The 12162-nt window shown below is 39.4% G+C and overlaps 1 pseudogene; it reads left to right on the top strand.

The window, feature by feature from the left end:
• RPS6P26 (ribosomal protein S6 pseudogene 26) lies at window positions 1035–1871 on the top strand (annotated as a pseudogene).

The raw sequence follows: 12162 nt of genomic DNA, 5'->3' as shown, positions 1-12162 counted from the left end.
TAGAGACGGGGTTTCACCATGTTAGCCAGGATGGTCTCGATCCCCTGACCTCATGATCTGCCTGCCTTGGCCTCCCAAAGTGCTAGGATTAAAGGCATGAGCCATCGCGCCCGGGGAGGTCAAATTATTCTTGTTCACACTATGCAATTAGTGTTATGTTGTCATCAGTTTAAAATAATGGGTTACAAGGTATTATTGGCAAGCTTCATGGTAACCTCAAATCAAAAAACATACTACAGATACATTAAAAATAAAAAGCAAAAAATTAAATCAGACCACCTGAGAAAATCACCTTCACTAAAAGGAATACAGGAAGGAAGTAAAGAAGGAAGAGAAGACTGCAAAACCACCAGAAAACAAATAGCAAAAGTCCTTATTTATCAATAATAACATCAAATGTAAATGAACTAAAATCTCCAATCAAAACACATAGAGTGGCTGAATGGATGAAAAAATAAGACCTAATGATCTGTTGCCTACAACAAACATACTTCACCTATAAAGACACACATAGTCTGAAAATGAAGGGATAGAAAAAGATATACCATAGTTCACATTAAAATGTAAACCAAAAAAGAGCAGGAGTAGCTATATTTATATCAGACACAATAGATTTCAAGACAAAAACTTTATGAAGAGACAAACAACGTCACTATAAGTGGTCAACTCAGCAAGAGAATATAACAATTTTAAATATATATACACCTATGCACCCAATACTGCAGCACCCAGATATATAAAGCAGATATTATTAGAGCTAAAGAGAGAGATAAGTCCCAATACAATAATAGTTGGAGACTTCAGCACCCCCCTTTCAGCATTGGACAGATCTCCCAGACAGAAAATCAACAAGGAAATATTGGATTTAATCTGTACTATAGACCAAAGGGACCTAATAGATATTTACAGGACATTCCATCCAATGGCTGCAGAATACACATTCTTCTCCTCACCACATGGATCATTCTCAAGGATAGACTGTATGTTAGGCCATGAAACAGTCTTAAAATATTTTTAAAAAATTGAAATTATAGCTATTTTCTGTGGTGCCTCAGAGGTGTTCAGCTGCTTCAAGATGAAGCTGAACATCTCCTTCCCAGCCACTTGCTGCCAGAAACTCATTGAAGTGGATGATGAACGTAAACTTCATACTTTTTATGAGAAGTGTATGGCTACAGAAGTTGCTGCTTATGCTCTGGGTGAAGAATGAAAGGGTTATGTGGTCCAAATCAGTGGTGGAAACGACTAACAAGGTTCCCCCATGAAGCAGGGTGTCTTTACCCGTGGTCGTGTCCACCTGCTACTGAGTGAGGGGCATTCCTGTTACAGACCAAGGATAACTGGAGAGAGAAAGAGAAAATCATTTCATGGATGCCAGTCTGAGCGTTCTCATCTTGGTTATTGTAAAAAAAAAAAAAAAAAAAAAAAAGGAGAGAAGGATATTGGATATTCCTGGACTGACTGATACTATGGTGCCTCGTCGCCTGGGGCCCAAAAGAGCTAGCAGAATCCACAAATTTCTCAATCTCTCTAAAGATGATGTTTGCCAAGTATGTTGTAAGAAAGCCCTTAAACAAAGAATGTAAGAAACCTAGGACCAAAGCACCCAAGATTCAGCATCTTGTTAATCCATGTGTCCTGCAACACAAACAGTGGCGTATTGCTCTGAAGAAGCAGGGTACTAAGAAAAATAAGGAAGAGACTGCAGAATATGCTAAACTTTTGGCCAAGAGAATGAAGGAGGCTAAAGAGAAGCGCCAAGAACAAATTGCAAAGAGACACAGACTTTCTTCTCTGCGACCTTCTACTTCTAAGCCTGAATCCAGTCAGAAATAAAATTTTTTGAGTAACAAGTAAATAAGATCAGACTCAAAAAAATGAAATTATATCAAATATCTTCTCTGACCACAATGAAATAAAAATCAATAGCAAGAGGAATTTTGAAAACTATGCAAACACATGGAAATTAAACTATATTCTCCTAAATGACCAGTGGATCAATGAAGAAATTAAGAAAGAAATTGAAAAAAAATTCTTGAAATAAACCATAATGGAAACACGACATACCAAAACATATGGGACACGACAAAAACAGTACTAAGAGGGAAGTTTATAGCTATAAGTGCCTACACCAAAAAAAGAAAATTTCAAACAAAAATTTAATGGTACGTTTTAAAGAACTAGAAAAGCAAGAGCAAACCAAACCCACAGTTAGTAGAAGAAAAGAAATAATAAACATCAGAGCAGAAATAAATGAAACCAAATCAAAAAAATACAAAAGATCAACAAAACAAAAAGTTGGTTTTTTGAAAAGATAAATAAAATTGACAAACCTTTAGCCAGACTAAGAAAAAAAGAGAGAGAAGACCAAAATAAATAAAATCATGGATGAAGAAGAAGACATTATAATCAATAGTGCAGAAATTAAAAGGGTCATTATGGGCTACTATGAGCAACTATATGCCAACAAATTTGAGAACCTAGAAGAAATGGATAAATTCCTAGACACATACAACCTACCAATACTGAATCAGAAAGAATTCCAAAACCTGAACAGATCAATAGCAAGGAACAAAATCAAAACCATAATAAAAAGTCTCCCAGCAAAGCAAACCCTGGAACCCAATGGTTTCACGGCTGAATTTTACCATTTAAAGAAGAACTAAACCAACCATACTCAAACTATTCTGAAAAACAGAGGAGGAGGGAATACTCCCAAACCCATTCTATGAGGTCAGTATTACCCTGATATCAAAATCAGGCACCAAAACACACCACAAAAACAAAAACAAAAACAAAAACAAAACAAAACAAAAAAACCCACAAAACCTATAGGCCAATATCTCTGATGAGCATTGATGCAAAAATCATCAACAAAATACTAGGAAACCAAATTCAACAACACATTGAACAGATAGTTCATCACGACCAAGTGGGATTTATCCCAGGGATGCAAGGGTGGTTCAATGTACACAAATCAATCTATGTGATACATCATATCAACAGAATGAAGGACAAAAATCATATGATCATTTCAATTAATACTGAAAGAGCATTTGGTATAATTCAGCATCCCTTCATTAGTACAAACCTTCAAAAAATTGGGTATAGAAGAAACATACCTCAACACAATAAAAGCCATGTATAGCAGAACCACAGGTAGTATACTGAATGGAGAAAATTGAAAGTCTTTCCTCTAAGATCTGTAAAATGACAAGGATGCCCCCTTTCAGCACTGTTATTCAACATCGTACTGTAAGTCCTATCTAGGGCAATCAGAGAAGACAAAGAAATAAAGGCATCCAAGTTGGAAAGGAAGAGGTCAAATTATCCTTGTTTAGATATTATCTTATATTTGGAACAACCTAAATATGCCAGCAAAAAACCATTAGAACTGATAAACCAATTCAGTAAAGTTGCAGGATACAAAGTCAACATACAAAAGTCAGTAGCATTTCTATATGCCAATGGCTAAGAATCTGAAAAAGAAATCAAGAAATAATCTCATTTACAATAGCTACAAATAAAATTAAGTACCTCGGAATTAACCAAAGAAGTGAAAGATCTCTAAAATGAAAACTATGAAACTTTGATGCAAGAAATTGAAGAGGACACAAAGAAATGGAAAGATATTCCATGTTCATGTATTGAAAGAATCATTATTGTTAAAATGTCCATACTACCCCAAAGCAATCTACAGTTTTAATGCAATCCCTATCAAAATGCCAATGACATTCTCCAACAGAAACAGAAAAAAAATCCTAAAATTTATATGGAATAAAAGTAGAATAGAGTTTATGCTCCCTAGGCTTATGTATTTTCTCTGTCAATTATTTGTTCGTTAGTTTAGATGGTTCGCTGTTATTCTTCCAGTTTCAGTTTCTTCATTTGTACAATTTGGTTAAAAATAATTACTCTTTAAGGATGATGTGAGACCAGATAAATGCGTGAGTAAATGTAAAGTGTCTGGCCCAAAGTAGATGTACAATAAGTATCCCTGTAAGGGAGCCCCAGCCTTTCTACTGTATAGATCTGAGGCCCTTTCTCAGGCTTAGATTAACTCCCAGTGTTCCTTTGCTGTGGGCACCAGTGCCTCAGCCCCTTTCTTTGTATCTCATGTTAGATACCACCGTTTTAGGCTCTTGTGGACCTCTGTAATTTTCTTTCATGGACATATTAGTTAAAGTACAAGTTTTACCCACACTCTATTCTAAGTAAAATGTCCTTGCCCAAAGCTGATGTCACCTACATAGCCACATTTTCTACCATATGATTCTGCCTGTCCCTCTTCCCCCTACCACAGCCAAATTTTTGTGGTAAGGCAGGAAGAAAGACCTGTTCTAAGGGTGTAAGCTGGCCTGTATGGGCTGGCTTAACAAATTAGCTGGGCCAATCAGATTCTCTCTTTCTTAAATGTAAAATATGAAACAGAAAATGACAACAACAACAAAAACAAATAGTGAATTATTACAGCTAAAAGGTCATGAGGTATAGTTGAGGCTGAAGAAGTCATGATAGGCCATGAACAGGGAGATTTATTAGTAATGATGAGTAATTAGAGGCAGTCAAGTGATAGTGGAATGGAAAGAAGCATGCATTAAAAACCTAGCCAAGTCACTATAATGAAGACCTTAAACTCCTGTTATAAGTCTCTAGGGCCACCTTGAAGCCCAAAATATCCCTTACTCCAATCTTGGTGTGGTCTATTCCTGTTATTTTTTAATGAATGAATGAATGAATTATTCCAGCCAGGGTCTCGCTCTGTGGCCCAGGCTGGAGTGCAGTGGCACAGTCATAACGTACTGCAGCCTGGAAATTCTGGGCTCAAGTGATCCTCTGGCCTCAGCCTCCCAAGTAGCTGGAACTACAGGTGTGCAACACCACACCTGGCTTCTGTTATAGCTTTTATTCTTAGATTTCTGCACCATTCCTTCCATCCTATTAGTCCACTCATAGTCTTAGAATAAACTTCACTTTATTTTAGTTAGCTTAAATGGGTTTCTTGCAAACAATTTAGCCTGAATAGACCCTCTGCTCTTTCTTGTATTTCTCATGGAATATATAGAACATTTTGCCCTGGATAAAATGACCAAATTAAATATGGATTTCAATTACATGAAAACTTGCATCAAGTAATAATGGATATTAGTTGCAAGAACAATTAAGATGTTTCTCTCAATATTCTGCCTGGAAACAGGGATGAAGGGAAGTGGAGACCTCTGATAGAATGCAGGATCATTTGATGTAGGTTGAAGGGGCTACAGTGGCAATGAGAAATGAGCTCATCCAAATAATGTTGATAAGGGTGTGGGAGCAGGAGTGTGGTCTTGCAGAAATGATCAGGAAAGCTCAAGTCACTGCCTCTTCACTCTCCTAGCTACATCAATACAATATGCAGCTACCCTACCTGGTTTGGCTGACCTCCAAATGAGTCAACTGGTTTTTAACTTGGTGCTTTTAGAATGCTCTGGTTGATCTCTAGAGCTTTCTACCTCACTTTTCTCTCATATTATCATCTAGTTCCCCCTACCTCCTCCTCTGTCATTTCCCTCCCTTGAACTGCCTATCTTGTCTGGTTGCTTACTCTTTAGCTCTGTTGTATTTCTGCCCTCCCTGCCTCAGAAGCAAACCTATGCACCATAAAGCATTTTGCCTATCATAGCAACTTGATTTCTGGAGAACTGACCTAGTGTTCCTTGCTCTATCCTCTTTGAGCTCCCTGGGTGAGATTCTAAAGATTGTCTGATAAGTGTGTTTCATTCCTCTACTGATTTGGTATCTATGTTCACTCTGGAACTCCCCATCTTTCCCCTTTTTCCACAAATCCTGTCAACTCACCCTAAATACATCTATAAATTATCTACTGCTGCAGAATGGAAATAAATGCAGCTACTTTGCTGGCACTGACTTGTGGCTTGGCTCTGACTCAACCTCTTGGGTGCAGGCAAGAGTAATAACTGAACAGTGGCATGTCAGCCAGTGGAAAGAAATGGCTTGGAAATAGACTGAAGCAGGTAGGATATCGGTCTTTCTTGGACATTGTTCTGGATGAAATGATAAAAAACAATTGAAAGAAAATTGGTCCACAAATTTAGGTATAATGATCAACCTGAATAAGGTGTCTGTACTACTAGTCTTCAACTACAAATAACAGAAAACAATGTAACCTCGGGCAAAATAGGGAAATTTATTATAAGTTAGGGTGTGTCACAAAACCCAAGGTTAAGCAACTTACTGGACCTCAGAAATGGACTAGAACAGGCAACTTCAAAGTCTTCAGAAACTCGGACAACAGGCAACATCATTTATTCTTCTCTTTATGTTTCTCCTTGTTTCATCATCTGTGATGAGTAGCTTTCTCTGCTCCTTAGAAAGCATGGGAAAATAGCTTGCCCATACTGCCAAGGCAGTATTGTTTACTTTCTAACCTTCAGCTACAGGGAAAAAAAATCTCTCCCTTCCTCCCTGTCTCACTCTCTTACTCTCTCTCTCTCTCTCTCTGTTTCCCCTGAAATTTCAAATTCCTGGAAAGCGCTTCGAAATAGTCAGGTGCTCCTCCTTGGGCCAATCAAGTTAGGCCTAGGGTTGGGACAGCAGTTATAACCCACATCCACTTTAAGGATCCCACCCCTATGAGAATGGAAGTAGAAAATGAGGGATAGTTTAATGGGTCACCTGAAATACACAGTCACTCCAAAAGGGATTTACTCAGTGGCCAAGCAGAGGGCATGCATCTGAGAACAAGCCCCAAAGGGCTTTGCTTCCTCAGTAACTGCTCTCAGTTTTCAGTTCCTTAAGAGTGAAGAAAACAAAGATTTAAACTCTGATGGGTGTTGTGGCTCACACCTGTAATCCCCGCAATTTGAGAGGCTGAGGCAGGCAGATCACTTGAGGCCAGGAGTTCAAGACCAGCCTGGCTAGCATGGTGAAACCCCATTAAAAACCCCATTTTCTATTAAAAATACAAAAAAATTAGCCAGGCATGATGGCACACGCCTGTAATCCCAGCTACTTGAGAGGCTGAGACACAAGAATTGTTTGAACCCAGGAGGTGGATGTTGAAGTGAGCCAAGATTGTGTCACTGACCTCCAGCCTGGGCAACAGAGAGACTGTCTCAAAACAAAAACAAAAACAAAAACATGAAATGCAAGAGGAAGTTAAAGTAGTGAAATAAAATGGCTAGCAACCTGTTTAGTGGGTTGAGTCAAACCTAACTATGACTAGGACTGTAACATAGCAAACACTTAAGAAATGTTAGCTATTATTATGGCAATCAGAAGAGGCTAAGTGCAGTTGGACTCTGAGCAAAAGGGATTAGACAATCTTTGCAGATAGTTGCTACAGAGCATGAAGGAGCCTGAGAAAGGTTTCCACTATGTAGGAGAATATACCTCCTTAGGATCCAAGACTCAGGCTGCTACATACAATGGTCTCTTCCTTGTACAGGGCTGATCAACAATGACAAATTCTTGGGTTTGGGCTCTATTTTTTCTAGATTCTGTGCAAACTTTTCTTTTGTTATGACAACACAACAGTTACCTCATCCTTGTTACAGTTGAACCCAACCAAGACAACTCTCTGCACATCCTGCTCCCCCTCCACCCAAATAATTCTATTCCAGTCGTTTCTGCTTCAGAATCAGCCAGATTGAATGTGTAAAGTTCCTGGTGTTTTTTATTATGCTTAGAAGACATATAGTCTCCTTAATAAAAATATGGAAAACACTCAAGTAACAATATAATAAACACACACCATCCCTCCAGGTCGACTACCTTTTGCTAATCTCCATTTTCTGTTGATTTCTTGAGAATTCCAACTGGAAAGTCTCTTTCTGACCTTGTCCCCAAATGCACCCTTTGGGGCCTGTGACTTCCCCTTGATAGTGGAGTCACATCATACATACATGTGAAAATAAGAATATAAATAATGGGAGTGAATCTGCCTACCATTCCACTAAGTAAGTCTATGTCCCAGAATGAGTGAAGGTTGGGAGACTTGAATCTGCTGTTCAATTAGGTGATTTCAGTTTCTGTGTGCTTCTTGTAATGTATTTCATCATCTTGAGTGTGTTACTAGTGTTTAAGTATATTTACTTTTCATGCAGTAGGGGCCATAACCAGAAGCCAGCTACTTAATCTGTTGCTTAATTGAAGAAACAGGGATCTGTTCCAACACTGACCTCACTGATAAGCGTTATGTAGATCTTTAACATGGAGCCTTCATAAATGAGTTTCAATGATAATTTTGACTATATGTCATTTTCCCTTAAATTTTGAATCCCCTTTAGAATCAGGCCTCAATATAAAATGAAATTTTACTGTACGAACTATAATCTGCTGGCTGAGAAAAATGGCTTTTTTCCCCTACCAGCTTACTAAGAGTGTGTGTTTTAGACAAGCTACTGCAAAGTAGGTATAGCATAGAGAGAAGAGAAAAAGGGTTGGTCATGGACACCAACCCTCTGAACACTTGGCCAGTGGTTGTGAAATTTTCTAGTTGGTGCTTGAGGACTGGGGACTGGAGATGGACATTGTACCCTCCATATCCCACCTTACAACCTGTCTTAGTCCATTTGTGCTTCTATAACAGAATACCTGAAACTGGGTAATTTATAAAGAACAGAAATTTATTTTCTTACAGTTCTGGAGGCTGGGAAGTCCAAGATCAAGTGCTGGCAGGTTCAATTGTCTGGCAAGGGCCTTCTTGCTGCATCACATTGCCATTAAGTTCCAACACCTGAATTTCAAAGAGGACACATTCAAACCATAGCACAACCTAAGATTCTATTCTGCCAGTAAAGCAAAGGTTTATGGAAAAATAATGAATCAGGTAGTATATTTTCAAATTAGCATCCAGGAACAAGGCAATTGTAAAGATATGTGGGATGAGGAATGGGGAATAAGATGCAGAAGTTCTGTTAAAAAGAGGACATTTGTTGGGAAGGGATGGGATCCTGAAAATTGGAGTAGGGGACTATGAGAAGATCCCAATGAAGCTGGGGACATCAGACTCCTAAATTCTACAGAGTCTTCTTTGCCAGCCATTCTAGTCTTGTCTGAAAAGGTTAACCCTGCTTTGCCTGAAGAACCTGCAGTGACCTTCCTTGAGGTAGTTTCCTTGCAAGGCACTGATGAGTTTCATGAGGACTTACCCACAACCCCTCTTTGCTTCTAGACATACAGTTCGGCTCAAGTTGCAGGAGGCCTTGAAAGGTGTGCTACACACCAAAACAACTGCAAGATTTTTTTTCAGTTTATATAGATAGAAATCTGGGGAATATGTGTGGAAGTGGATATTAAGGGTGTGGGATAATTTTGGAAGGAATAGGAAGTTGAATCAGGCTAACTTTATTAATATAGGCCCACTAAGAAGAAATAGTGAATTGAATGTTTTAGCTCAATGTGTTAGGGCGCTAACAGTTTGGTTGGTTGGCTGAAACATGGACCAAAAGTGGCCTACACCAAATGAAGTTGAAATGACAGAACTGTCTTGGTATACTGTAAAGGAAGGGATTTAAAGGCTTAGGAAGATTAGAATGTTAGAGTCAATTTATTGTTTAAGATCCCTTCACCCACATTGGGAGAACACATCTTTCAACATGGTTGTGAGAAATAGATTTGTGAGGGGGAACCCCTGCATCTTTGAAGAGTTCTGTGGTTGCTTTTCTCTGTAGGTCAGAAATTATAGTGGGAACTGCTGCCACCAAACTGGGATCCCTGAATGCAATAGAGGCAATCGGATCCTGGGGCAGCAGGGGCCAAATGGCAGAACTAAATCATCAAAGACAAGGTGAGTGTGGTTGCTGTGATGGACAGGGGAGTCAAAGCAATAATCAAAATAGTGTAACTTTCGGAGACCTTTGGCATTGGCTGGTTGATCATCATGTCCCTAGAAAAGAAATAGATGGATATAAATTCTTCCTTGATCTGTATAAGCAGGAGCATTCTAGTTTGAGTGAACAATGTCTAACTTGAATCACCAAAACATAGACTCACTGTCCAACGAACTCCCAGACTTCAGCCAGTTAACAGACCCACAACCCCTTGAATGAAGGGGAAGCCCTTGAGGAAGAATCCTGTTATACTGCCAAAACTTTATACTGTTACTCTTCTTTATAGACTTCCTCAAAGGAACCTATGGCCATTTATCAAGTGGCTATGCATTGGGGAAAAAGAAATAATCAGACATTTTGGGTATTACTGGACACTGGCTCTGAAGTGACACTCATTCCAAGAGACCCAAAATGTCACTATAGTCCACCAATTAGAGTGGGGCTTATGAAAGTCAGGGGATCAATGTAGTTTTAGCTCAGTTCTGTCTCACAGAGGGTCCAGTGGATCTCCAAACTCATTTCGTGGTTATTGTCCAAGTTCCAGAATGCATAATTGGAATAGACATACTCAGCAACTGGCAGAGTTGGCACATTGGTTTCCTGATTGTTGATTGAGGTCTACTATGGTAGAAAAGGTCAATAGGAAGCCACTAGAGCTGCTTCTACATAGGAAAATAGTAAACCAAAAGCAATACCATAGCCCTAGAGGGATAACAGAGATTAGTACAAACATCAAGTACTTGAAAGATGCAAGATAGTGATTCCCACGACATCCCATTCAACTCACCCATTTGACTTGTGCAGAAAGCAGATGAATCTTGGAGAATGACAGTGGATTACTATTAACCAGGTATTTATCTCCAATTACAGCTGCTGTTCCAGATGTGATTTTGTTGATGAGCAAATTAATATATCTCCTGTTACCTGGTAGGTAGCTATTGATACTTATTAATAAAAAAGACCACCAGAATCAGTTTACTTTCAGCTGACAAAGCCAGCAATACATCTTTCACTATCCTATGTCATGGGCATGTCAACTCTGTGGCCCTCTGTCATAATTCAGTCTGCAAGGACCTTGATCACCTCTTCTTGCCACAAGCCATCATACTGGTCCATTGCATTGATGATATTATGCAAACTGGACCTAGTGAACAAGAAGTAGCAACTACTGTAAACATATTGGTGAGACATTTGCATGTCAGAGGGTAGAAAAAAATTCAGGGAACTTCCAACTCAGTGAAGTTTCTAGGTGTCCAGCGGTGTGAGGCATGTTGAAATATCACTTCTAAGATGAAGGATAAGTTGTTGCATCTGGCCCTTACTACATCCAAGAAAAGAGGCACAATGCCTAGTGAGCCTCTTTGGATTGTGGAGGCGACAAATTTCTCACTTGGGTGTGATACTCCTGACACATTTACCAAGTAACCTAAAAAGCTGCTAGTTTCCAGTGGAGCCAAGCGAAGGCTCCACAAAAGTTTTTGGCTGCCACGCAAGCTGTTCTGATATGTGGGCTACTTGATCCAGCCGATCTAGTGGGACTTGCAGGGTCAGTGGCAGGTAAAGGTGCTGTTTGAAGCTTCTGTAAGGCCCCTATAGATTAATCAAGTTCAGGCCATTAGGATTTTGGAGCAAAGCCCTGCCATCCTTTCTGAATAACTATTTTATTTTTGAGAAACAGTTTTTGGCTTCCTAGTAGGCTTTTTTTTTTTTCTAGGGAAAGAGAGGAAAGAGAGACAGTGTTTCACTTTGTTGCCCACGCTGGAGAGTGGAGGCATGATCATATAACCTCAAATTCCTAGGCTCAAACAATCCTCCAGCTTCAGCCTCCTGAGTAGCTGAGACTACAGGTGTGCATCACCATGCCTAGCTAATGTTTTTACATTTTTTCTTTTGTAGAGATGAGGTCTCACTGTGTTGCCCAGGCTGATCTCAAACTCCTGGCCTCAAGCGATCCTCCTGCTTCAGCCTGCCAAAGTGCTGGGACTACAAGTGTGAGACACCATATGAGGCCCTTACGGGGTCTTAGTAGAGACTGAACACTTAGCCATGGACCATTAAGTTACCATGCAACCTGAGCTACTTTAATTTGTGTGAATAATTTCTTAGACACGACTGTCTGTGTATCTTTTAATTATTGTGTGGTACTCTATACTTACGTTGTTCTACTGCCCACCCCCCACCACCCCGATTTAATAATACTATTGCCGCTAGTACCAGGGAGATTGTGGGGAAAACTCATTTGTAGCATTGGAGAGTTGCACTTAGTATAGTTTGTAGGGGCAAGTACTTTGTAAGGGGGTGGGATGGGGGGTTGCTACTCATTAGAAAT

The sequence above is a fragment of the Homo sapiens genome, chromosome X, assembly GCF_000001405.40.
Source record: "Homo sapiens chromosome X, GRCh38.p14 Primary Assembly".
Classification (NCBI taxonomy): domain Eukaryota; kingdom Metazoa; phylum Chordata; class Mammalia; order Primates; family Hominidae; genus Homo; species Homo sapiens.
Note: the sequence above shows the minus strand (reverse complement) of the source record. Positions and strands in the feature narration are given on the sequence as shown.